The 26,898-nt window shown below is 42.4% G+C and overlaps 1 protein-coding gene across 11 annotated transcripts in view, besides 3 other annotated features; it reads right to left on the bottom strand.

Annotated features, from left to right (window-relative positions):
- Positions 1-26,898, bottom strand: part of CREB5 (cAMP responsive element binding protein 5) — a 526,574-nt gene that overhangs the window by 228,811 nt on the left and 270,865 nt on the right. For all 11 annotated transcript variants that reach the window (NM_182899.5, XM_017012807.2, XM_017012808.2 and 8 more), the window contains one exon: positions 26,547-26,719. In NM_182899.5, the coding sequence (NP_878902.2) occupies positions 26,547-26,719 (173 nt within the window). The remainder of the gene's footprint in view (positions 1-26,546; positions 26,720-26,898) is intronic.
- Positions 1,819-6,040: an enhancer, noted in NCBI's record as "VISTA enhancer hs1604". NCBI's record gives its function as "enhancer in: limb[10/10] | branchial arch[10/10] | nose[10/10] | genital tubercle[9/10] | facial mesenchyme[10/10]" and the evidence as "EXISTENCE:transgenic organism evidence [ECO:0001131][PMID:17130149]".
- Positions 22,975-23,024: a silencer, noted in NCBI's record as "silent region_18046". NCBI's record gives its function as "represses an Ori minimal core promoter by ATAC-STARR-seq in GM12878 lymphoblastoid cells {active_cell/tissue: GM12878}" and the evidence as "EXISTENCE:reporter gene assay evidence [ECO:0000049][PMID:35858748]".
- Positions 23,599-23,893: a silencer, noted in NCBI's record as "tiled region #14916; HepG2 Repressive non-DNase unmatched - State 24:Quies". NCBI's record gives its function as "represses a minimal TATA promoter and a strong SV40 promoter by Sharpr-MPRA in HepG2 cells {active_cell/tissue: HepG2}" and the evidence as "EXISTENCE:reporter gene assay evidence [ECO:0000049][PMID:27701403]".

Here is a 26,898-nt window from a genome sequence, read left to right as displayed (position 1 = left end):
CTGAGTTTGCCTCAGAAAGGTTTAACTATCCATTAACCACACTCTTGAGCTCAGGCTAGAACGTCACACATGTCAGGTTTCATTCCAAATCATGGGCTTGGTCCCAGTGCAAATGAAGCACTGAGTGTGATGGGACTAGCATCCTATGGTATTATCTTGGCCCTAAGGTTCACATGACATTAAACAAACTGGGATCCTTCCCACTATTGAAAATCACTATTATGTGCTAATAATAATAGCAATAATAATAATAGCTAACACTTTGGCATCTTTATAATGAACACAAGGCTAACTAATTTACATATGTATTATCTCATTTATTTCTGATGACATCTATGTGAGTTGGTTGCTTATCCACATTTTAGGGATGATGTAACTGAAGCAGGAAGAAAGTAAACAAGTCCAAGGTCACATAGCAGTTAACTAGCAGGGCCCAGGCTTGGACCCAGGTCTAGCTGGCTACAGGTTCACGCTTTTAACTGGTTCAAAAGACTTCACTTATAGCAAAAGGAACTTGTTTCATTTGGATAGGAAAACAGGAAGAGACAATTCTAGTGCATTCTCCTTTCAATAATTTAATATGAACTGTTCAAATGAGCAATTGAGATGCTTCTCAGCATCTGTGACTCACTCCTTCTGGATCCCAGAGTGCTGTTATGGAAATAAGTTGCAGTGTAGATCATACTTTTGTTCTAATATATGCAATGCAATGCAATGCAAGAAATTCAGTTCTGAGATATCCAGGGTAGTTGGCTCCTTTCTTTTGTCTTTTGGAAAGAGTAAAATTTCAGTTTGTTTGAGTTAGAGCTTCTCTGACTTTGATGCTGACCGGACTGCTCAAATATTTAGTAAAAGTGATTTGGGAGAGTACTCGTCATAATTGATTTAGGGGACTGCTCACTTATCTCATTCTACAGAGCTGCTTCACATCCCAAAATCTCATAAAAATTGCACCATATCATCACTGAGGAGAGTCACCTGGTCAAAAAGGTGGCCTCTTGGGGAGAAGACAATGAAATCCCAACATTTAGGTTTCACCAGCTAGAGGGGATTGCATGATACTGTGATTTAGGAGGTCTCGGCCTAGAGTGCTATGGTAAGCACGATGAAAGTGAGACCAAATATCATATTTCTCCAGAAATCCAAAACACCACACCAGAGGGAGGCATATGATATCTGTCTGCCGAGGTTAAGATACCAGAGAACTTCAACTGGGGTAGCATGAAAACTGGCCTGGCCCCTCTGATTTCAAAAGCCTCAGTTCCTATCCACTTTGCTTTGATGGTGTGCAAAATGGGTCTGAAATATGATCTCTCAATTATTCCCAAAGTTGCTGCTGCCAGAAGAGCCATAAGCCAGACCCATTTCCATGCTCTGTCTTCATCATCAGCTTTGAAATTAAGACCACGCTGGTGAGAAGCGTTGAGAAGTAAAAAGAAGGGGCCTCTTTTCTTTCAGACTTTGGCTAAAATTAAAAGTGATTTACCCCTAAAAGACCTGTTTAGTTGCACAGTGGGGTACTTGCTATATCAACTGTGAGATAGAAATGGAATCCACCAGAGAAAGGGGTGCACCATGGGACTTGAGATAGAGGCAGAAAGAAATGTTGAGCTATTTAAAACTTCATTTCAAATTCGATCATTGACTGATCATTCATCATTTATATATGAAGAACCTACTATATGTCAGGCACTATGCGGAGCTCTATAAAAACGATGGAGGGAAAAAAACCAGACACAATCCCTGAGCTGATGGAACATCTGGCATAGTGAGGGTGATGGGCATTAACTGAATATTTACACGCATACTTATAAAACCACAACCCACCAAAGAACAAATCCATGCTGCTATGAGACTATCTAGTAGCAGGGCATGACTTTGTTAGGAAGGCTAGGGAAGATTTTTCTGAGAAATATTGCAAGTTGAGGAAAATCACCATACCACATTAAGCTCACCCTAGCTTTAAGAAGTGAAGGTCTTGTATTACTATGTAGCAGGCATAGAGGAAAACACAGACATTGCACTGTGGGGGCTCAGGGAGTGGGAGGGCTCAACAAATATTCAATGAATGACTAAAGTTAGAAATACCCAAAGGATGTTCAGGGTCTGAAGCAGGGTATAAGGGGATCTATGGCAACAGATGTTCCTGAACCAGGTGAAATTCAGAGAAACATGTGACCTTGTATAGTGGAAGTGGCCTGTAGAAAACAGAAGGAGGAGGAAGAATTAACTAAAAACTCCTTTGAAGTCAAGGGGTTTGGTTAGCTGGGCCTCACATGTATGAAGGGCCCTGTCTCTAGTGGGGTTCTCTGAAAGCAGATGCTACTACAGAGTCTAATATGAAAACTATTCATTAGAGAGAAAATGGATTTTTATCTTTAATTTAATCAGCATTCTATTTTGCCTTGCTCCATTCCCCATTTACTCTTCAATAATTATTAACTTATTGTCTATTGATCTCCAAGCACACGATGTGTCCACCGTCTAGTTGAGTGATTGACATGTTAAAGTCACACAGGCATGCTGCAGAATGAGCCAGAGTCAGCCTGGGGGAATCAGGAGGGCTTAAAACTTTTCTAGAAAGCTCACTCTAACTAGACCAATAACCCCAGGAATGTTTGAAAGACTAGGCAGCCTATATTTATCCAGGCCTTAAAGAGAGTTAAGTGGGCTGTAATCCTTGAAACCAGAGTTGTGGAGGGCGGTAACTAGATTTACCTTACCTTTAAGTTGAACAGACACCATATTCATCTAGTGTTTGAATCCACTCCTCCCTCTCAATAACAGAACAGAAGCTGTGAAAACAGTTACCTATTCTAAGATACTTCACCTATGAGGTTAAGAAAGAAACCAGTGATAAGCTTTCCCTTTTTACATATGGTTCACAATTCTAAGTTTTGCTAAGAGAGTCTAGCGGGTAGCATCAACACCAGTTTTCATTTGTAAGGAGAAAGGAGGCAGATTTCTCCTCCACTGGGAGGTGGGGGCAGGGGGCCTGAGGGAGTATTTGCTAAAGTCAGGGAGATGAACTTGGCTTTGCCTGCAGAAGTGATTGACAAGGCAGCTTCCCGCTGCTCCGGAAGGAACCCAAAGTCAGGGGCTCAGCAGAGCCTCTTCACCCACCAGTGGTTACTTGGCTCCCTGCTGCTGGGGATAACCTCCCAAAAGTTTGCAAATAAAGTTTCTTCCTATAGTTTTACTCTTTCCCACTTGGCAGGCTTTATGTCACTAACGGATCCAAAATTAATGGGTCCTCTCTCCCTTCCTCCCTTGGATCTCTGGCTAAGTCAGCACATTCTGGGGAATGTGGCAGGCAGTTAGTTATCACCTATGGCACATCTTGAGGGGCTGGGCCCAAGGTATTCTCATCACACCTACTGCTCTCCCATCCAGTGACTAGGATCATGTGGAAATAAATGCAAAGCTCATTCACCATTTCTTTAGATTATATTCATAGAAATGTCTCCACTTATGGATGGAGCACACCAACCATTCTTCTGGAGGCATCTTCTATGTGTGTATAAAATTCAATTCAGGCCAGGCACAGTGGCTCACACCTGTAATCCCAGTGCTTTTGGAGGCTGAGGTGGGCAGATCACTTGAGGCCAGGAGTTAGAGGCCAGCCTCGCTAACATGGTAAAACCCCATCTCCACTAAAAATACAAAAATTAGCCAGGCGTGGTGGCGCATGCTTGTAATCCTACCTACTCAGGAGGCTGAGGCAGGAGAACCGCTTGAACCCAGGAGGTGGAGGTTATAGTGAGCCGAGATCATGCCACTGAACTCCGTCCTGAGCAACAGAGCAAGACTGTGTCTCAAAAATAAAATAAAATAAAAATCTTTTAAAAAATCAATAAAATAAAAAAACTTGATTCAACCGACACAAATTGAGTAGCTATGGTGGTACACACACCTCATGCTGTGATATGTGTGAGTGTGGTTATCATCATGGTTAATTCTTTCTTGGCATGGGACCAATAACTCAGGTTGAGGCTTATGCCATGTGCCCTCATTATCTGCAACTGGATTTATCTTTGAGTGGTTTGACCTGCTAGAGCGATATGCTGTGGTTGTGCCATGCACACCCCACTACTTGGGTTTGAATGCTGGTCTTGCCATTTATGATTTACATGACCTTGGGCAAGTAACTTAACCTCTCTGTGCCGAAGTCTCCTCATCTGTGAAATAGGAATCATAATAGTATCCCTATTTTACAAATAAGAAAACGGAGACACAGAGGGATTTGGTAAGTAGGTTATTATGTGCTGGCACTGACTGCACCTAATACAGGGCCTGGCACATAGAACACATCAACTGATCACTATTGTTATCTCAGCCTCTCACTTCTTGGTGACCCTTTTGTAGACATTTGGGAAGAACAGGCCACGGCACTTGAACAGGTTTTGCTTCTCCACCTCCTCCATATGAGACTAACTGATCCATGCATGTTTGAACTCTTGACCTCTGCAAACTTAGTGCTGCGCCTCTGCCCACTGAGCTAACCATCCCAGCTGCGTGGGGGTGATGTAGAGCCACTAACTACCATATTCTCAGTTCAAAAGGATGTCAACCCCCCCTTGCTCCCTCATCCAAAATCCCTTCAAGATTTAAATACACCTTCTAAGTTAATCTGTTTCAAACATTTGCTTAAGAAATAAAAAAAGTAAAAGCGCCTGCTGCTTTACTCCAAGTTGAAAATGGAGATACCGGTCTCTCTTTCTGCATTCTATTCCCTCAAAGTTCTTTGCAAGACAAAAATTATGTTGGCCACAGTTGCAATCAGCTTTAATTCATTCTTTATTGCTGCTCTGGTTTTGTGTTATTTGAGCTGGTTTAACTGTTAAAAGCGTTTCAAATGTTCACATGGCCTGCATTAGGTTACCGAATTAAAACAGGAACAGCCCACCAAATGTAGCTCTCTGAAATGCAAACCACATGAGTTTGATTTCTTTGTGGTATAACTTTAATTGGGTTCAGAGGTCTCTGAGACTTACCTGTCTATCTGCTCTGTGATGGCCTGATCTGATAAGACTAACTTAAAGGGTCTGAGGAATCAGAATTGCTTCAGCTCTAATTTCAGAACCAATGACCATGGGTTCTGCATTACAGCTTCATCCAATTTATGACTATCCAAATTCAATTCAATTGGAAATCTCAGAATACCCCCTCAGGGCTTCTTCACTTGCTGTTCTAGCAAGTGTCTGGCACACACAGAGAGCCTATGAGTCCCAAGCACAAAGTGCTGGGAAATTACTAATATAATAGTATTACCAGTACTATATTAGCATTGCATATAGTCAGATTTGGCACTTACCTCCACTTCCTACACCCCACAATCAGATAGGCCATATAGTCTTCCCTTCCTGACATAATACAAAAGAAAGCTTTGGGCTCAGATTGTCCCTTTTTTGGTCTTCTGATAGCACTAACAACCAGTCTCCCTTAGCCCCTGTCCACCTTCTGGAAGAGCTTCTGTAGCTTCTAACATCCAGTCCTAAACTGGACTCCCCTTATTGTTTCTGAAGGCAGGTGGAAGCAGCAATTAACTGTGGCTTAGTTCTCAGGAAGAGCTGAACTTCCTCCGTGTAGGTTTCTAAGAAATAGTCTCAGGACATAGCAAATCTACAAAGGTTTTCTGAGTATTACAAGCACGGTACTAAGCAAACCACCATAAAACACGAGGCCTGGGAAGGACAGAGGGGGAAAAAAATCAATTGAACCTGTGGCTGATTTAATATGGAGGGCAATGGACATGAGAAGCTAGAGAGGACTCCTCTCAGCCCGACTGCTTGAAGGAATGGCGTTATGCTTGGGTGAAAAATAAATCACTCTGTGACTTCAAGCTACAAAGGAAGACCCAGAAGCTGTGTAGAGGAAACATGATGCCCTTTGGCCATTGCTCTTCCCTTGCTAAGACTCCAGGGACACAAGATAGAGACATGGTGAGGAAAATCAGTTGGTCATCCTGTTTGGAGTAAAAGTAGACATTTTATGTGAGACTAAACAGTGCTCATGTTTATTAAAACAGTGGGGAACAGGGACATTTTCAGTATTTCCTCAAAAGTTCATTGATCTTGCAAAAAATTAACTTTGGCAATCTGAAAGACATCAAAGTCTTTCTAAATTAACTATACACAAAAATACACTTACTCCTAACCACACATTGAGCAGGTAGTTAGTGATAACGATGATGATAATGTCATTGAGGACTTTTGCTATATGCCAGATATTTTTATCTGTTCTTATGGCATCATCACCACAGGCTTGGAGGGCAATATCTTCATTTTAACACATTAGGGAAGAGAAACAGAGGCACTGAGTGATTAACTATAACTTTTCCAAAGTCAGAGTAACTTGGATTTCAGTTTGGGTTTTTATTATTATTATTATTATTATTATTATTATTATTATACTTTAAGTTCCAGGGTACATGCGCACAACGTGCAGGTTTGTTACACATGTATACATGTGGCATGTTCGTGTGCTGCACCCATTAACTCGTCATTTACATTAGGTATATCTCCTAATGCTATCCCTCCCCCCTCCCCCCACCCCACAACAGGCCCTGGTGTGTGATGTTCCCCTTCCTGTGTCCAAGTGTTCTCATTGTTCAATTCCCACCTATGAGTGAGAACATGTGGTGTTTGGTTTTTTGTCCTTGCTATAGTTTGCTGAGAATGATGGTTTCCAGCTTCATCCATGTCCCTACAAAGGACATGAACTCATCATTTTTTATGGCTGCATAGTATTCCATGGTGTATATGTGCCACATTTTCTTAATCCAGTCTATGATTGTTGGACATTTGGGTTGGTTCCAAGTCTTTGCTGTTGTGAATAGTGCTGCAATAAACATACATGTGCATGTGTCTTTATAGCAGCATGATTTATAGTCCTTTGGGTATATACCCAGTAATGGGATGGCTGGGTCAAATGGTATTTCTAGTTCTAGATCCCTGAGGAATCGCCACACTGTCTTCCACAATGGTTGAACTAGTTTACAGTCCCACCAACAGTGTAAAAGTGTTCCTATTTCTCCACATCCTCTCCAGCACCTGTTGTTTCCTGACTTTTTCAGTTTGGGTTTTATGATGACAAAGCTGAGTCCCATACCACCAGATATAATGTCTTTCCTATTGTCACAGCAACAAAAGACTTAAGACAAAGGAGATGATACAGAGGGAGTAGAGGAGCTGACATAGTTTATCTGCAAGAGTGAGGCCCTTAACATGGAAGCTTCACACAGCCCTTTTCTCTCCTGCTCCTTCCTCACTTGAATAAATACTCCTAATGCAGAGAAAAAAATGGAATACTCACTACCTAAATATACAAACCGTGGATATTACAGAATCTTTTTTCATCTTCATGATTACCTTTCAATAATAAGAGACTCTAGAAAGGAAAATCACATCCTATATGAAAAGTGGCAGAAATATACTCAAGATTTATGCATTTCGCTATTTGTAAACAGCAACAAAAAGAACCACAAAGAAATATCAACTCTGTTTTCTTTTTCTTTTTGTTTTTGTTTTTGAGACAGAGTGTCGCTCTGTCGCCCAGCCTGGAGTGCAGTGGCGTGATCTTGGCTCACTGCAAGCTCCGCCTCCTGGGTTCACACCATTCTCCTGCCTCAGCCTCCCGAGTAGCTGGGACTACAGGCACCTGCCACCACACTCAGCTAATTTTTTATATTTTTAGTAGAGATGGGGTTTCACTGTGTTAGTCAGGATGGTCTCGATCTCCTGACCTTGTGATCCACCCACCTCGGTCTCCCAAAGTGCTGAGATTACATGCGTGAGCCACTGCGCCCAGCCCAAATATCAACTCTATTAATGATACATATGCTGAAGTGGTTAGGAGTAAAGTTACTGATGTCTGCAACTTACTTAGAAATGCATCAAAAAATAAGACTGATGGATGGATAGATGTACAGCTATATGATAAAGCAAGTATAGCAAAGAGCCATTGTAGAATGTTAGGTGGCGAATATACAATTCTTCATGCTTTTCTATGTGTTTGAAATGTTTCAAAGTAGAATGTCAAGGAAAAGTGACCATAGAGTGAGTCTTACATTTCTAAGCTGCTCGTTTTCTGACTCCACACTTATTTAGAAAGCTGGGCAGGTGGGAAGAGAGGAGCTACGTTGCTGGGAAGAAAGCCAGCACTGGCCAATAATAATGTTGTCCCTTCCAGGGAAAACAGGCTTGGAGAACAACTGCTTGACCACTTCTAATCCAGATTCACAATCTCAAAAAAATTCTCATGCCGAGAGAAAACAGAAGCCAAAAATAGGTAAGAAAATACAGCAGGGGCAAGGAGAAGATGCCAGATTTCAACATCGCCGCACATTGTGTCATAGGCAGAGCTGCAAATGAAAGCTAGAACTGTGTACAGTTTTGCATGGTTTTGGAACCTAGACTTGGAAGGCTCTAAGGCTTGTGTATCCCCAGAGAAAAACAGGTCCTTGGTAAATATTTGCTGAATGAAGGATGCGTATTTTGTTGAAAGGTACTGAAGAAGATAAAAACAGTTTTGCAACTACTTATCTTACCTATTGATCTCTTGCTGTTTAAATTAAGAAGCTGCACATATGTGATGTCTCTTTCAACCCTTTGTGCCCATATGTGTATGCATACTTACACCAATATAGTTCCTCCGTACTAGATAACATGCTGGGCGTTTAGGAGATTCAGAAATGAATAAAGCACAATTTCTGCTTTACAGACTTAAAACCTATGTGGAAACAAACCCCATGTAACTATAATACATGGGATCTGATGTAGTAAGTACCATGAACAGCAGAGGCCTTATATTGTTTTGTTAAGATCTGACTTTACAATATAGGTCCTACATACTGTATTCAAGTCACCAGAAACAGTACCGCTACGTATAGGAAATGGCCCCCTCCAAAAGATTGTGTGATCCAGGATACCAAGAGACCAAAATTAGAATGCTGTACTGCAGATCAGAGTCTCCTGGAGAGCCTGAGATCTTTCCTCTATTTTAACCCAAATGGTTGAATTATCCCTTTGTGTCAAGAACATGATATTGCACAGAGAGTTGGCCCCAAACAGCCCTGGACCCCTGATCTGCAGTGAAGAGCTCCCCATAGCATACTTGGGTACACTAATGTAACTAGACAAGTACTGGTAAAACCAGGTGGTAGAAAAGCAGTCAGGAAATGGGATGGGGAAAGGGCAAAATCTGTGCCCATGGAGACATTTTAGGTATTGAAAAGGAGGTAATGTTTTCCACTAAAGGGCATCCAGTTGGAGACTGGTCTGAGCTGGCTCTCGTTTTATAACCTCTCAACACATGTGTGTAGTCAAGGCTGAATTTAAAACCTATACCGTGAACCTTAGGAAAATAAACCACATTAAACAAGCACAAATTGAAAATATTACACAAGAGATTTCACAGGAAATTGGTCCAAATTTAGCCTTGCTCTTTATGTATTTAAGCCTCTTATTCATTGCTTAGAACTTTATATCAGGATTTTAATATGAGTCTCTCCTCCCCCACCCCCACCCCCAGCCCAGTCCACCTCCACAATGGTCTGCTTAGTTTTACAAAATGTATTTTTTTTAACTCCCGAAGAATCCTGCTACCTTTGGCCTGCTCTTTCAGTGCTCATTAACACATGTTCCCAAACAGCGCACTGATGACTCACAGCATCAATGGTGAGGTGAGGCTGAGCATGTACCCAGAAAAATCCCACTGCAGTACCAGAGACAAGCTCCACTGTGTGATCCCTGCATCGGTGGATTTCAATGCTGATTTTACATAAAAGGTGCCAGCAATCATGACAAATGTCATTAGCAGCAAACCATTTCAGTGTCTTTCAGTCTCAGAATTCTCTAATACTACTTTCCTTTCTTCTGTAGATTGTTTTGTCTTGCTTTTAATCTTGTTGTACTGTACTTTCTCTGAGTCTCCTCAAATCCTTTTCTTGGAATGAAGCCAAGTATAGATAAATACATGAATGATTTAGAATCCCATAAATGTAACAATCCACCTTTTGTAATGACATTTGAGTTGTTCTGATGTTATCTTGGTTGGTCACATAGCAAGAGACTTCCAGAAGCAACGGCTGGACCACTCTTTCCACCTTGGGTCTGGATTTTTGCCATCAGAAATGCCCTGTGGGATGCTGCCAGGACACTCTGGTCCGCAGCCCTTCTGAGCCAGGCATTTGCCAGGTGGGAAAAGTGATGCCAAACCAAAGGGTGGTTTTGTGGGATGGACAAACATGCCCTGAGGCCACGCTGGGACGTCCCATTCTTTCTCACTTGTTGCTGCCAGACAGAATGTGATTATTACTGGAGTTTGCTTACAAACCACTTTTAGAAGGCTTATTAAATTAGAACTTGTTTTGTATTTAGTTTGGAATTTTTTAATGATTTCGAGGTCTGGAATTCATGTTGCTTCCCCACTTCTCTCTATCACACCACAGGAAAATGCTTGCTGGTGAATGTGATTAAGTTTACTCTGATCTCTTTTCTTCGCCCTTATAATTCTCTACTCTTTATGGATGTGAGAAAGCTCCAAAAGAATAGAATAAGCCATGCAAAGAGCCCGAGGTCAGACTTCAGCTGGAGAGGGAAGGGGGCTGTCCAGAGGCCTGGCAGGGACAGGTACCCTATTGCTTTTACTGGGGTAGAACTGTGGGAAGTTTCTTTACAATTATTATCATTTTGCTAATTCCTATTTTAGAAAGATTAAAAGAACACCCTGGGCCCCTCCCAGAGCTCTGAGCTTCTTTGGGGGAACTCGCTGCCTCCTCCCCTTCTCCTCCTGTCGTGGCAGCCACCACACTCACTGAGGGGTCTTTCATCAGGGCTCTAGAGAAACATGGGTTTGGAAGATGCCCACACAGATTTCTGGCCCGTGACAGTGAGGACCACAAGGAGCATGGGCTTTTGGAGGTGTCCCTTCAAACCAACTCAGTGGTCTGACTGGGAGAATTGCTTCCATTTTCTGGCTTATTAAAAATAGTAAGGGAATCAAGATGACATAGTGATTTGATGAGCCCTTGAGAAACAGAAAACCCAGGATCACTCCATCCAAAAAAAGATGCAAAGTTCTAAAGATAGGAGAATTCAAACAAATAGGGAGGTTATGCAGCCAAAGGGGCCCTTTATTATCTGTTATGCTCAAAGGTAAATACACTTCCCTGACTGAAAGTATTAAATTTTCAAATGTTCAAGTAATCGTTAACCTAGTTCCGACCGCACAGGTGTCTGCAGCCTGCACCCATCCTGACTCAATGAGAGCCTCAGACAATGAATATGTCTAGTTGCTTTTAACACCCTCCCATGCGGGCTCACTCTGGGTGGTCATCTCTTGCCCCCTCATGCCCCAGAACAATTCTGGTGGTGGGGCTTTATTGGATTTCTCGGAGCATTAGGTTTCTGGGAGCATATAAACTCAAGGACGTTGCCTTTAAATCACTCAGAGCCAGGGAATAAGGCAGAGGACGCTTCAAAAAGAATTAGGAAAAGTTAACAGATCAAAAGAACAGTCCTGTCACATAAGCTACTTCCTTTTTCAAAAACATGTATTAGGAGCACAGCAGTTAAAACTCTGATCGGTCACGAAAATGAGCCCTAGCCCTCCGGCTGAGGGGCTGAGATGCATTAGGCACCACCTAAAAGAAATTTCTCAGTGATTAAGCTCAGTGTCTGCAGAAACACACAAACACACACACGGAAAAACAAGGCCCACCCTGGGCTCTCCTTCCCCAGGTAAGTCCCTGGTGTCCTTTCCTTCTGTGTCCACACAGGAAGTTGGTTCAGGGCTGCTGGAATGTTATTAGCTGCTAAGAACATCTTAGAAGGCTGAGTTGAAAAGCCCCCATACCTCTCTACAATGCTGATCTTCCATTCTTTGCAAATTATAGGGCAGACAGCTTAATCAACAAGAAGTGTGTGCTTCAGAATCCCGCAACTACTACTGAGCAGAACATTCGAGGCTAAAGAAAAAACTCCCTTGTTTGCCTCAAAGTGGATGTTTATGGCAGTGTAGGTTTGCAGCCCAGGTAAAATGCATCTCTACTAAGATCTTTCATAGAAGATAGTCACTGTGGATCTGTTTGATCTAGAGCAGGCCTCTTCGTTCCCTTTCTGTACAAATGGAGAACAAAGAACTGGGGGCATCTCACCAAACAGGTCCCAACAGCAAGATAGCTGTTCTCCAGAAAGTAGTCTTGTTTTTATTTTTAGTTGGCTTTTTCTCTTAATGTATTTATCCCCCACATCTGTTACAGTTCAATAAAATGAGAATGGAGTGATAGTTTTTTTTTTTTTTAACCACGATTCCGTTGGCAAAGCAGATAGATCCATAATTACATGGAGACACATGTATTCGTTTTCTAGGGCTGCAGTCACAAATTACCACAAACTGGGTGGTTTAAAAGCCACAGAAATGTATTTTTTCACAGTTCTGGAGGTTAGAAGTCTGAAATCAAGGTGTCAGCAGCAGGGGTTCTTTCTCAGGGCTCTGAAGGAAAGTTGCCCCATGCCCAGCTCCTGGATTCTGGTGGTGGCTGGCAATCCCTGGCGTTCCTTGGCTTACAGCTCTGTCCCTCCAATATACGCCTCTGCAGACACATGGCACTCTCCCTGTGTGTCTCTGAGTCCCCGTGTCTCCACATGGCCTTCTTATAAGGACACCACTCATTGGATTTAGGACTCACCCAAATCCTCCACAATGTCATCTTAACCTGATTACAGACCCTATTTCCAAATCAGGTCCCATCCGCAGGGGCCAGGGGTTAGGACTTCAACACATATTTTTGAGGGGACACAATTCAGATCATGACAACATACATGCAATAATTAAAGAGGAAAACCACAGGGCCTCGCCTGGGAGATGAGGACACTCTGAGCCTGTGAAGGAGGAAGAAGTAAAGGACTGTCCCAGGGGCTGGGCACTGAGAAGGAGGCCTCAGGAAGTCATCATTGCGTTCCGTGAGGTATTCCCACCGGCAGAGTTCGGGCTTGACTGTGGTAGAGGTGAAATTGTGAAGAGAGAGGAAAAGATAACAGTGAAATCCTGGCAGACTAAACTAAAAAGTGGAGTGGAAGTGTGCAGGTTGAAGGTGGAGGCTGTGCCCAGCGCGGTGGCTCACTCCTGTAATCCCAGCACTTCGGGAGGCTGAGGCGGGCAGATCAGCTGAGGTTGGGAGTTCGAGACCAGCCTGACCAGCATGGGGAAACCCTGTCTCTACTAAAAATACAAAATTAGCCGGGCGTGGGGGATCATGCCTGTAAACCCGGCTACTCTGGAGGCTGAGGCAGGAGAATCGCTTGAACCTAGGAGGTGGAGGTTGCATTGAGCTGAGATCATGCCATTGCACTCCAGCCTGGGCAACAAGAGCGAAACTCCATCTCAAAAATAAAAATAAAAATAAAAATGAAGGTGGAGGCTGAAGCACAGGCGGCTCTGCCCATGAATGCTGCCTCTCTGCTCCTCTTGAAGCTCAGTGCTGTGGGCACCTTCTTGCAATCATGTGTAAGTGTACCCTGCCTAAAAGGGTAGACTGAAATGATACAACTTCCTTTGTTATTGTTGTTCTACCCTTTCCTGAGAGATTGAAATGGACAGATCCCCATCAAGTCTCTATGTTTCCCTTCTGATGATTTTCTTCCCTCGCATCCAAATACTAGAAGTTATTTCATGTTTTATTCTCCCCTCAATCACCTATCACCTCAGAAGCCACAGCTTGCCTGTCCAATCTCATCCACTTTCCATGATGATGATGGCATCACTGGTTCTCCCGGAAATTGATCTTTAAGATGGTACTTGCTTTATCATACCCAATAATTCACTTTTCCTCTTGTTTGTGGTACATAGAGAAAAAAGCATCTTCCAATTTTGTAGTTTTCAAACTATGCTCTTGCTGAAGAGCCCTTTGTTCAAAGAAATGCTTATGTGGAAACCCAACTAAGTTCACATATGTGAAGCTGCTGTGGTTGAAGACATACCTGGGAAATGGGGAGCCCTGCCCACCTGGCCAATCTCCACACCCCTCATGCTTGGCAGCCCCTGGGCAGGCTCTGTTGGGCCCAAGTTAGTGGATTCGAGGTGCCCATATTTTAATAATTCATCTTTATATTATGGCACCTAGATTTCACATTACAATGTTCTGGGATCTGCCTGCTATTTACTTATTTAATTTTAAAAAAACCATCAGTTATCTTGTTTTTCCCAAGAAATTTAAACAGTTTCCCAAGAATTGTCATATGTCAGCCTGTGTTCTGCCCTCTTCTCCCTTGGGGTCTGCCGTCTAACTTTCCTCAAGGCTCTGATGGAATCCAGTTCTGTTTGGACGCTCCTCTAAAACTCACCACACGTCTAATTTCAGTACAATTAACAAAATTTGTAAGTTCTTTTCATTTCTTGACTGGAGATAAGGACTGAAAATTAAGTCAATTAGTAGAGAAGATAATGTATACTACAAGAAAAATGAGACCCATCACCATAAAAACTGATATAACAGTTAGACTTTGGAAAACTCCCAACTTTCCAGAGAAATCCACCACGGAAATATGAAGGATCAAATGCTTTTCATGGAAACACCTTGAAAACAAGCTTCCTATCATAAGACTAAAAAGAAGTTGATGCAACAGGGTCTTTGACGTAAAAGTTAACAATGGAACTCATTAAGAACTGATACAAACAATACACTACTGTGACTTAGTAAAAATGTGGTTCCCCGTGAAGGTTACCATTGAGAATGAACAAATTAAAGTTCTGTCTTTATTAAACTCCTTGCTGATGAAGGCCATTTCCCTTGGCCTTTCTCTACCCCTAAATTCCAAGAACAAATGAAAAACGAAAAAGCAGCAACTCTATACTCCCATGAAATTTTACCTAAGGACAGGCTTTAATACTACTGAGAAAGTGTGGGATTTCTGTTTCTTTACAGCACTATTTTGTCACCTTTTATAAAAACCCAGACAGGAATGCCCCTTTGCAATATTTTCCCACTAAACAGTTTTTCTATATAAATATCCAGGACCACAAATCCCCGGAAATCACTACAGTGCAACTTTCATTTACTTCTTATTCGTACAGGGGCATTCACCCAAAGAACCTTTTGTGCAAAGGGTAATAGCAAAAGAAGTATCTTTCCAATGCCTAGAATGGGAGAGGAGGTTCTTCTTTCTCACCCCACCCTGGCACTACATCTGTGAGAAGGTGTGCACCAAGTCACCTGCATTCTTGACAGGCAGACAGGGCATTGATTACCCAGACATGGCGCCTCCCTTGCTTCTAGTGAGGTCACCCGGGTCTTCCCTGCCCTGTCTAAAAATCACAGTTGGCTTTGCGATGCTTGACAGATTGTTTGGGTGCCTGTGGAGACAAAGCTAACTTTCACTGTACTGTAGTGGGCCTGATACAATAACTGGAGGCTGTTGGGTGTTTTCTTCTGATTCAGCCTTTCTTAGGAAGCTCTTGAGGGTCTGATTCAACCACTTGAGCTACAAACAACCACTATGGGAGGAAGAGGTAAAGGGGAGGAGAGAGACACCCATACTTGAGGGCGTTTGTGATTCTCTTTAAGCACCCGCAGGCCTCTGCCTGTGACTGTGGTACAGGCCTTGGCAAGGAACCAACCAAGTCTACGGGAAAAATAACGTCTGGAAGAATGTCTTGTCATACTCTTTTCTCTTTAATGGCTTGGTGAGCCTTTTCACCAGGCGCAGCTTCTGTTGTGAACACTCCGCTGGTTAAAAAATCCCCTGGCCACACTTTCTCTGAGATCCCTAAAGAAGGCTGGAGGAATATTCGGGCACAGTTATTTCAAAATGATACAGCAAAGGAAAGAAGAAATAATACAAAATCTGGAATCTGGAGTTTGTGTGCAAGAAGGTTAAACACATTGGGAAAAAGTAAAGTTCAAGTTGTCACTGTTCTGCCTCCTAAACAGCCTTGCTGCTTTTTGGCTGGGGGTTTCCTCACTCTTCTGCACTTTGTCTCTCAGACTGTTTCGAACCTAGCCTCTAACTGAAGACCCATCTTGTTATTCATTTTTCTATTTTTAATTAGAGGAACACAGTGTCATGAAAAAAATTAACTTTCATCTCCAGACTTGAGAAAAGCCAAGAATTCAGACCTCCAATCAAAAAAGCTTCCTGAGTACCAGCACTCATTCATGCTGGTTTTGTATCTGATGCAGTTTTCATTCAATTTGAAGCTCAATGGGTATGAAACCCAATGAAATGAACCAAGAGAAGGACATCGTCCAAACATGTTGAAGCACTTGTGGGTGATTGGTCGGGCCTTTGTGTTCTGTGGCTCCTTTGAGAAGCCTCTGTCTCAGGCAGGCTCCAAACTGCCAACTCAACCAAGCAAATAATAATTATTCCTAATGGCAATAATAATTATGGAATGCAGTGGCCCCAATATAAGGCTGTTTGTCTGTGGCTTCAGGTGGGGTAGCCAAAGTTTCACACACTCTTTTTATAAAAATCTGTCTATCTCTCTCTCACACACACACACACACACACACACACACACACACCAATTTGCCAAATGAGATTTCGACAAACTCACTCCTCTGGTTCTCTGCAAAGTGCCTGACTACAGAGCTGCGTTAAATAAGTAGCAGCTATCTATTGTGTGTGTGTGTGTGTGTGTGTGTGTGTGTGTGGTGGGGGGGGATTGGGACAAATCTAGCAGTTGACACCACATGCCCCCCCCACACACACAGACACCCCTCATTTTCCTTTTAGTTAAAAGTCTTCAACTTTCTCCAATTCCAGACTTTTATTTCATCAGATTTTTATTTGGGTGTACCTGGTCTGTAAAATTCATCAGTCACCTCTAACAGCATGAAGCTTAGTTGAATTATTTTAAATTAATTCTTTCAATGTTTTAGAAAGTCTATGATTTGGAGTAGGCATCTATAGGTTGCCTTTTGTTTAGTTTTGGCATTTAAATATACACTGACTCAACATGGGGCTTTGGAAGGACTTTAGAAGTAGACTGGTTTCACTGAGTTTGCAGATTCATCCAGTAGGCTTCCCTCCCACAACCCAAACAATACTGGAATGGAATCAGCTACTACCTCATTTACCTTCTCTTTAATCTAGTACCTTACTGCTTATCTCTTTAAATATGCAATTTGAGCAAGACTCTTGAGAAAAATGAGATGAAGTGACTTGCTAAGCAGAGATCCCTGAGAGTCGGTCAAATGCTTAGCCTCCTGCCCCTATAGATTCTAAGAATGTCATTGCTCATCTGACAAGTGTTCAATGGCTCAGTGATTCGGGGATGGGTATTTGCTCTTCCAGGTTCCAGTTATCATTATGATTATTCATGTAGAAAATGTTCATGCATTCCATAGACTAAAAATAATACATTGGAGGTCAGCTGTAAAGTGCTGTGTGTTTGGCTTGTGAATTACCATCGCTGGACCAAGATATGATGGGCATGTGGTTATTCAGGAAGTCATTTCTAGCATTTCAAAGATGTTTGGGGCCATCTGTTCTCTGCAAAGTTCTGTGACCCTGCAAAAGCAAACCAAGCACATTCCATCATGTCGCTACCCAATGCTCACAAGGGTCCTATCATTTTACAGACTTTACTGGCCTAATCATCAGCCAAAATGCACTTTGCCAAAGGGGGGAAAACTATAAAACTCCAAATTCCTTGAAATGTGTCTGGTACCATTAAGAATGTTTATTACACTACAGGAACTTTTAGTTGATATTTGCCAAAAGCACAACATACCTGGCAAATGGATTACTAGACTACCTGCTAAATGTGAATGAATGCGTTTTGTAGAATTCTTCTTCAGCAGTCTATGTCAGCCAAGTAGTGTTGTTGTAGGGTGTGAGCCATGATAAGGAAACACACTTGTTCCTAAGAGCTTGTTTCAGAATTCCTGGGAATTTGAGCTACGAGAAAGCATTTATTAGACAACCTAGTTTCATTCTTTCTTTTTACAAGATGGAAAAGTCAGGCCCCCAGCAAGGTAAAGAAGCCTGTTCAAAGTCTAGAGCTCATGCATGGTACAGTCAGAGTCACCAGCCTTGGCTTTCTATCCCTAGAGCAATGATGTTGCACTGCCTCATTGAAATAGGATTCCATCTGTATATACCAGAATCTTAATATCAAGGATTCCCTTTACATTCAAAATTTGAGATCAAATTGGATGTTTATGTGTTATTCTGATTCAATCAAAGGTAAAATGCTAATGGTGTTTATGTAATCTTTAAATCTTCATTAGAAAGGATATAAAAGATGATTGTAGAGAAAATTTATTTGGTGAAACATAAATGAAAAATAGATAGTAAAGAAGCTGTTGAATGAGCTATCTTTTGAATCTCAAAGTATCTGATTACATGAATATATCATACATGCAAAGGGCATCATAGGCTATCTCCAAATTTCTAGATTAATGCTTCTTTTTTAATTCAGAATCTATCAAACAGTTCAGACAAGAGTTATTTACATTTTAGGAGACATATAGTATTATAGAATATAAAAGCTCCAAATATCTGAAATGCCCGCAGGGACACCGCCCTATTACTTGGACGTGTTCAATCTTCAAAAAAGCAAAGTGTACTTCCAGTTCCAAAGGACCAGCTCTGAATAACCAGGTTCAATTCAAATTTCTCCTAACATGTTCAGTTCACACAGGGCACTGCACATACTAATCATTTTCCCATGTTAATTCTCTTTTTGATATTCTTCAATAAATGGTTATATTCAGTCATGGGACTCTCTCTAAACACCACAAGCCATGTGAACCTGCTAGGTTTTCATTCTTGCTTCTGGATTTGTAAACAGGAAATACTGAGCCAATCTTGATGTAGGAACTATGACAAGTACAGAAAAGAACAGCTAATTTTTTCAGTTTGCGTTATGGGAGACTACATACTCTCATTCCCAAATATTCACTCACATGGCACCTTATCCAAGGCTTACACAGAGGAAGACACTAACCAGTGATATGAGCTAAAGCTGTGTTTCAGATCTTCCACAAAATAATTCCCCAAATAATAATAATTCTAGAATACAAGACAGTGGACTGCATTTTCCCATAGAACTGTCTCTGGCAAAACCATCATCCAGATCTCTTGCGTTGGACTTGTTTTACATGTTTACTATTTTAGTTGTTTTTCTAGTTAAAGCTCCGAAAATAAGCCACTGTTAGCAGAGTGAGAATAAAAGAACAATTTCCTGATAAGATTACTTCAAGAGAGGAAGCTATACCTAGTCACACACGCAGCACTGAGTCCCCAGAGAAGTTACCTTACCAAGTAGTTTACAAAATTAAATTCATTATGAAAATAATTAACATTTTAGTGCTGAAAAGAACTTCAAGAATTTTCTAGTGGTACCCCACCCCCCAATTTTAAAGGTGAAAAAACTTAAACCTGGGAAAGTTAAGTTTCTTGGGAACTGTGGGATAGTGCATGGAGTAGGTGGTCTGGATTCGAGTTCTGGCTCTGGCCATTATCACTATGACCTGGGGCAAGTCACTTAATCTCTGAACCTTACTTTACTCAACTGCAAAATGGGTGTATTAATTCCTGGGTAACAGAATCATGCATGCCAAACTAGTAGAGATGTGCCTTGTAAACAGCACCTGACAAAGAGAAGAGGTTGCTGTTATTCACCTAGGAGTTGAGCCTAGAAGTCAAGTGTCTCTGACTTCATATGTTAGGACCCCTCCCTTTTACTGCCGTGGGCTTCTCTTCCCAAACCCTATTCTGTTCTCACTCTCTGGGCTATGTGAACATATCTAGGAGGTCAGATAATCTAGAGCTTCTGCCAAACTTGGCTCCTGGAAGAAAACAACCAAAAGAGAGAATAAATTTGAGACAGAAAAGAGGCAGTGAATGAGAATTCTGGAGCTGAGACTGACTCAATTAATTGGCTAACCCCTTTATATGTAGGTAAAGGAAACCAGGCCTGGGGAAGCTGAGCGCTTAGCCAAGGTGGCAAATGTTTTAAATGGCAGAGCCTGAATGTCTAAAATCCATGAACTCTGAACCCATGACAATGCTTTTCCTTGACTCCCCTCTGACTTGCCATGGTTTTGCTCCAAGCAAGCTCTTGTATTCCAGGCATATCTTTTCAATATGCTGCACAAAAGAACAAATGTCTAGATTTACTGTAAGCACAGAAAGAATGATTCCAGGCTGGTTGCTGTAGAAGTAGTCCCTCATTTGTGCCTATCTTTTCCAAAAATAGGAGGGAGGAAATGCACACTGAGACACTTACATGGAAGCTTCAGGAACTCTGAGGGCCAGGTTCTGTGTAGAAGTTCCAGAAATGAAGTCTTCCTCCAAGAAAAGCTCACAGGCAAAGCCAACTGTCCCCTCAGGAAATGGAACAAATCTGGAAGTTGAATTGCATTTGGGCAGGGAATAGTGGTCTTCCTGCAAGCTAAGAAGCCAAATATAGAGCAACCAAATGTTGGAGACAGGGCCATCACTTCTCTGTGATGCTATAGTTTTCTTACACATGAGGGGATGAAGTGTTTGACACTGTAAACAGATAGACTGAGCATTAGCTAACTCCTGTAGATGATTCTGCCAGTCTCAGGCACAGTCATGGGTCTTCCACGGCACTGGTATTGCCACGGTCAGGAGCATGGGGAAACATGTGCTTTTGAGTCCAATAGACCCATATTCAAAACTCTGTTTATCTCCCTGGCTGGGTGACTTTGGACAAGTTACTTTTCTTCTTGGAGCAATAATATTGGGGTAAATAACAGCTACCTCTCTGAGCTATTGAAGAATTACAGGAAATAACATGCAAAGCTAGCTCAATGCCTGACACGTAGTAGATCCTGAATAAATATTAGCTTCCTTTCTCTTCTTCAGTGTCAGTATCAAGGCCCTTTCTAACGAAGGGCTTGAGCCATTGGGGAGTTACCTCTGATTTTCTCTCCCGAGTAGAGCAGGCTTGCTGTGTTCCAGGTGGGAAGCTGAGATGACACTAAGACACAATGCTTGCCTGAAGAATCAGAGGCAAGGACCAGATTCGAAGACGAGAGCTGGGGTATTTTTCTGCCTCTCAGAATACCCAGCCATTTGCTCCCATGTTCTGGCTCTACCCCCTTCATCTGACCACAATACCATGTGGTGTTACAACTTTTGAATGTTAAGAAACATTATATTTCCTCAAGTATCAGTACTTTATGTTTCGTTCCACACATAAAACCCCGTGAGTGGAAGGCTGCCGGCCCCCTTGTCAGAGGTAATTTCTCAAGGCTCTGCATGGGATTTAACGGGAGCCATATGGTTAAGTCTGTCAACCCTCCCAGAAAGCATCCCCCAGAAGGGCCCTCGTAAATGTTCTCGGGGCTGTGAAAGATACAGCAACTTTCCAACAATAAAGCTATGTTCATAGCCGTGATATTCAGCAAAACACAAAGCAGGAAATAATGACTTCTGGTCTGCATTACTCAAAGGGGCTTCAAGTTGTCCTGGCTAAGGGCTGAGGACCAGTGACAAGCCGGGACCTGCTGCCCCGCTGTCTCCAGCAGGAAGGAGGCTGGCCTGAATATCCCCAGCATTAGCCTGTGGTAGATAGCGACAGTCTTACTCATGCTCACTTTGGTTTGAGGAGCTTTAGGAAGCTCTTAAAAATAGATTCATACGCATATGCATTGACAGGGCAAACACATTCTTAACCTGTAAGCTGCTTTGTCATTTAGGTCTTCTTTAAGCCATGACCTTCAGTGATGGCATCATTTACCCACTTCTCTACTGTTCTTTCCCCACCCCCAGCAACAATGACACAAAACCCTCAAATGTATTAACATTCCCATCTTGAGGGAACACTGGGCAGGAACGTGAACTCACACAGCAAAGCCACATGACTCGTAGCATTGCTTCTGCCACCAACAAATTTTGAGATGTAATCAGCTTTTCTTTTTATTATTATTTTTCTTTGTTTGCTTGTTTGTTTTCCTCAGCCATGTCCATTGAACTACATCTAATATTCTGCATGACACATAGCATCTGGGATTGCAAAGAGAAAAGGGATAAAGAGGCACAGAAAAGGTAAGAGGAGGTACAATTTATAAGTCTTGGCACCTTTTCATCTTTACATAAAACAAGATTTTCTTCTATGATATTTTATATAAATTTCTGGCTAAGTTTTATGTCTCTGTTGTCTAGCTACAGCCCCATGCAAATAGGGTTTATAACCAAATGCCTAAGTTACGCATCATGTGGAAATATATGTTCCAGGATTAAAATTGGTGTAAAATCAGGGAGGGTTTTTTTACGTAAATGTCTTCATATATGCATTCTGTTGAACATATTTCTGAGTTTCCTGATGCAGCTGGCCAATTCATTCTCTTAACCAGAATACTCCACATTTGTATATTCTAATGTTAGATATATTTGGCCAGTGCCCTACAAAGAAGTAAAAGGTAAGAAAAAAATATGTAGAATATTTTGGAAGCGTCTCCCATAACCCGTCAGAGCTCTGTACTGATATCCATTCTTGTAGAACTCCAAATTCCATATTATCTTCATTGCTCTCCTGAAGAATTACTGAGTGTAAATTATATACTATCACTTATCCATAAAGAAGAATCAACTTAGTTAAGAAAGCTGGGATCTATTAAGATTATAGCCATCTACTCAACGGATTATTGACTCCTACAAAAATGTCTTAGATGATAAGAAACAAAGAGACAGAGAGAGTGTGTTAACTTCCAGTAGTGCTACCTACCCTTCTGCCATTTTCCCAGGCTTTGCTGACTTGATCCTGAATTAATGAGCCTGTTACATGATAGCTAATAAAAATGACTGGAGGAGAGATACTGTTTGGATTCTGCCACATATTTGGTTCAAGGCTGGATCGATTTTATCTCTATTTAATACATGCTTGTTTTCTGTCTCACTTGTCTTCCCCACAGCCCATGGCTCACTCTTTTTTTCCATCTGGGAAACTTATCTCTGAAAACGCTACCATCAATCAGCCAAAGACACTCTTCCCGGCAGAGCGTCTGCCAGTTTGACTAAGCACAAGTAGTCACTAGTTTGGGGATGCCTCCCACACTCTCCATAGCTGTGTGTTTTTCTAGTCTGCCCAACCACACAAGAGCAATTTGAGATATTTATATTTACCTCTGGTTTCTATTGAGGTAATGGCACTACTTTCACAGAATTGAGCGCAGGGCATGGTATGGATTGCTGTGGTATGGAATGGAAGTTGCACGTGTTGTTTGTCTACTTCCTTTTAACATTACTTCTTTGGATTTTTGCATTTGCACTCATTTTGGTCTGGTTTGGCTCAGTGCCTGTTCAAAAAGCATGAAAATCAAATGCTTATGAGGATGCCTACCCTTTGTCCCCAAAGTCCTCCCTGATAACTGGCACTACTCCCATTTTCAAGTCCTTTATGTTGATAGCTCTCTCAATACATTCAAGCCTCCAAGCTTAAATTTTGTACTGTGAAAAGAGGGAGACAGAGAAGAGCGAAAACTTGGGGTTGCCTGCAGCAGCCAAGCACTGATAGAAGGGAAGGGAAGAGGGGGGAGCAGGAGCCAGGTGGCCCCTTCTCCCACAAAGTCTCAGCCATGAACACACCCGCTGGCCGCAGCACAAGAGCACTATGCGTGGGCACAGGTGGGTCCCAGCCTTTCTGGCTGGATGCAGCTTAAGCACTGAGCCTGAATGAAGACTTTCATTGCTGTTTGCTGTTTTTCTTGGCCAGTAGCCATGGCAAACATTTGCAGGTGGCTTGGCCAGATTTTGACACTTAAATATTTGAGGTTGTGATAAAAATCAGAATATTACTACAATATGGTTCTGTGCAGCCTCAAAAAAAATAAAGTAAAAAAAAAGCTATCTGCAATTTCAAATGCTCATTTAAAGACACAGTCTCCAGAGGGAACTCGTGTTTTCAAATAAGTACTCATTTCCTCTTTCCTGAGAGAAATAAAAGAGTCAACCGTCCCCAAATGTTACCACCTAGAGTTTCATACTGAATCCACTGGTGAGATGGGTTGGGTTATTTCTTGCTGAGTCTCCAGGATCATCCGGGCAAGGTTTTGGATGGAGAAAAATGGAAACGACAAGATGTGTGGGTTTGAATCAACATGGCAAACACACCAGGGAGGAATCTGAATAAAAGAAATAGCCTCCCTCGGGCTTGGCAATGAGACAGAGTCCTAAAAGTGACAATTATCTCCTAGAACACACCAGGAGCGACACACAACACCCCAGGCTGGAGAATAAATGGGAAGATGGAGTGTGTCCAAAAGGCGTCCATACCACAGAAACACCCGCCTCCATCCAGGCATGGTGACACAGCCTACAAATGTCACCCAAATGTACAGTCCTGGGCCAGCTGGGTAAATTATCAACAGAGTCAGCACTCATCTTAAACTTTATTGCTAGCCCTCAAAAGACTGTTTCATAAAGACCAGCTTTGTGCTAACAATGGCTGAATACTAAGGGCCTCCAAAAGGGTAGTTGGTGGGGGGTGGCAGGGAGAGGGAGGCAGGAGAACTCCAGGGGGGAAGGAATGCTGTAAAACTGCTAGTAAACTCTAGCACATTTTATGTTTTTTCCCCTTGAAAGAAAAATAAAATAATTATAATTAGCTGGCATAACTGTGAATTGTCTGCTGAAAGCCAAGCCACTTGAGAGAAGTCCCTGGAGATTTAGATGCTGTCTTTAATGAATCTACTCCACCCTCTTAGCACTCTATGGGTTCTTGATTTAGATAGCAGCAACATTTGCTCTCATGGTCATTTGAGAAGAAAAGAAATCTTTAGCAGAGACACTTACCAACCTAGCATTGACTCCTTTCAACAAAGCCGAGCATTCGAAGGGCCAGGTTAATGTTCTGTTTCTTGAATAGAAAACCAAACGCACCCACAGCAAACTCACAAAATGGTCATTACCCATTACCCATTACTCTCATTTCTTAAGGTGGGTCTTAACGTATCACAGCCATTCCTGGTAAGTTGAAAATGTGAGACAAGGTGCCCCTTCTGGAATATCCTAGGGAGGAATAAGCCAGTGTTCCCTGCAGGTCTGGAATTCTTATAACACCGAAAAACAAGAGGGAAAAGACCTACTGACAAATTGTGGAGCAGTTTCTAAGTTTTTAATTATCACTTCCAATATTTGACTGAAAATTCAAACAGAATGTTGATGCACATACCAAACACAGCAAGCGCCCCTTCTCATTTTAAACAGAATTCTGGAAGCATAGAGCAGCCAGTTCTCAGCGACCAGCAACAGAACTGTATCACAGCTCTTTGGCTTAAAGTTATTACCTTTTCTTCCTAAGAACCCATGTGCTCTTAAATCTTTTATTTCATCTTTACTCTCATGAGGCTGGAAAGAGCAGACACCATCCTCATTCTGGGGATAAGGAAGCTGGGCCAGAGATTCTGCGTTTCTGAGAAGCTCCCTGGAAATGCCCACGCTGCGGATCCTCAGACCACACTTGGCACATTGCGAGGGGCTAGAGCTAACACAGGATACCCAGAAGGGAAAGCTCTTTCCATCACATGACATGGAGTATCTGGTGTTCAATGACAGGATCTTTCTACCAATTTTTCCTCAATGCCTCAGTATTGACCATTTGCATAAATGAGAGAGAGGGGCCTGCTTTCTTTGCTTTGTCTACTCCAGAAATCAGCATGGACCAATGTAGAGGAAGGAGAGGGCTAATAAGGAGGCAGTAACAGGAAGGAGAGGGCTAGTAAGGAGGCAGTTACAAGAAGGAGAAGCAGGGAAGAATAAGCAGAGGGCGGGACGACTGTGGAAATATGGTGGTCCCCCTTATCCGTGGTTTTGCTTTCTACAGTTTCAGTTAATCGTGGTCCAAAAATATTAAAAGGAAAATTCCAGAAATAAACAATTCACAAGTTTTAAACTGCTCACCATTCTGAGTAGCATGATGAAACTTCATGCTGTCCCAAGCTATGCCCCCCAGGATGTGAATCATCCCTCCTGTCCACCGTGTCCACATTGTGGACACGCCCCACCCAGTAGTCACTTAATAGCTATCTCAGTTATCAGATGGAAAACACATATCACACACAGGGTTTGGTACTATCTGCACTTTCAGGTATCCATTGGGCAGCTTGGAATTTATCTCTCACGGACAGGGAGGGATTGCTGTACACAGAAGATGAGGTGATGAGTGTGGCAGCTCCCAGGAAGGGAAGGGCACACTCTGTTGGAGACAAGGCTGAGCTGGTAGAACTTCCCTCCACCATGTTTGTTCTGCGCACTATACTCTGGTCTCCATAACAACCATGGGTTTTCCCACAGTCATCTTAAAGTTCATAAATCTTGTCTGAAGAAATGATGACACAGAATGACTTGCTCCCCACCCTACCCCTACCACCCAAAGTCCAAGATCAAAACAGCTTCTACCAAGCAGAGACTCCTCCCTTCTCCCATCAAAAGCATCACTCTGAGCTCTAGGCAATATCATGACAGCCAGAAAAACCAACCAATCTGAGCACCAGAAACCAGGAGGAAGTCCAGGACATTTCCTGAGTTCCAGCCAGGACCCAGGGGCAGCCAAGGAGGGCTCCTTACCCGATCTGGCGGTTGGTGGAAGGTGCCTGAGTGATGACAGAGCTGGACTGAGGCGACGGCATGGCTTGCTGAATCACAACGTTGGTGTCATGGTTGGGCAGCCGAGCGCTGCTAAGCTGGTGAGTTCCGGGCCCCGTCATGGCCCCACCAACTGCATTATGCATCGAGATATTCTGCCCAGAGAAGACACAGGGGAAAGGTCAGGAGGAGTCAATGTTTTTATTCTACTCTCAAGCTCTCAAAGGCCAAAACTGGGAATCTAGTCATGTCAACTACATAGAGAGTTATGGCTTCCGGCAAGCCATAGGCCCATTCATCTTGTTATAACATACAGCTACGAGGAGATGAAAAA

Source organism: Homo sapiens, chromosome 7 (assembly GCF_000001405.40).
Source record: "Homo sapiens chromosome 7, GRCh38.p14 Primary Assembly".
In the NCBI taxonomy this organism is placed as follows: domain Eukaryota; kingdom Metazoa; phylum Chordata; class Mammalia; order Primates; family Hominidae; genus Homo; species Homo sapiens.
Note: the sequence above shows the minus strand (reverse complement) of the source record. Positions and strands in the feature narration are given on the sequence as shown.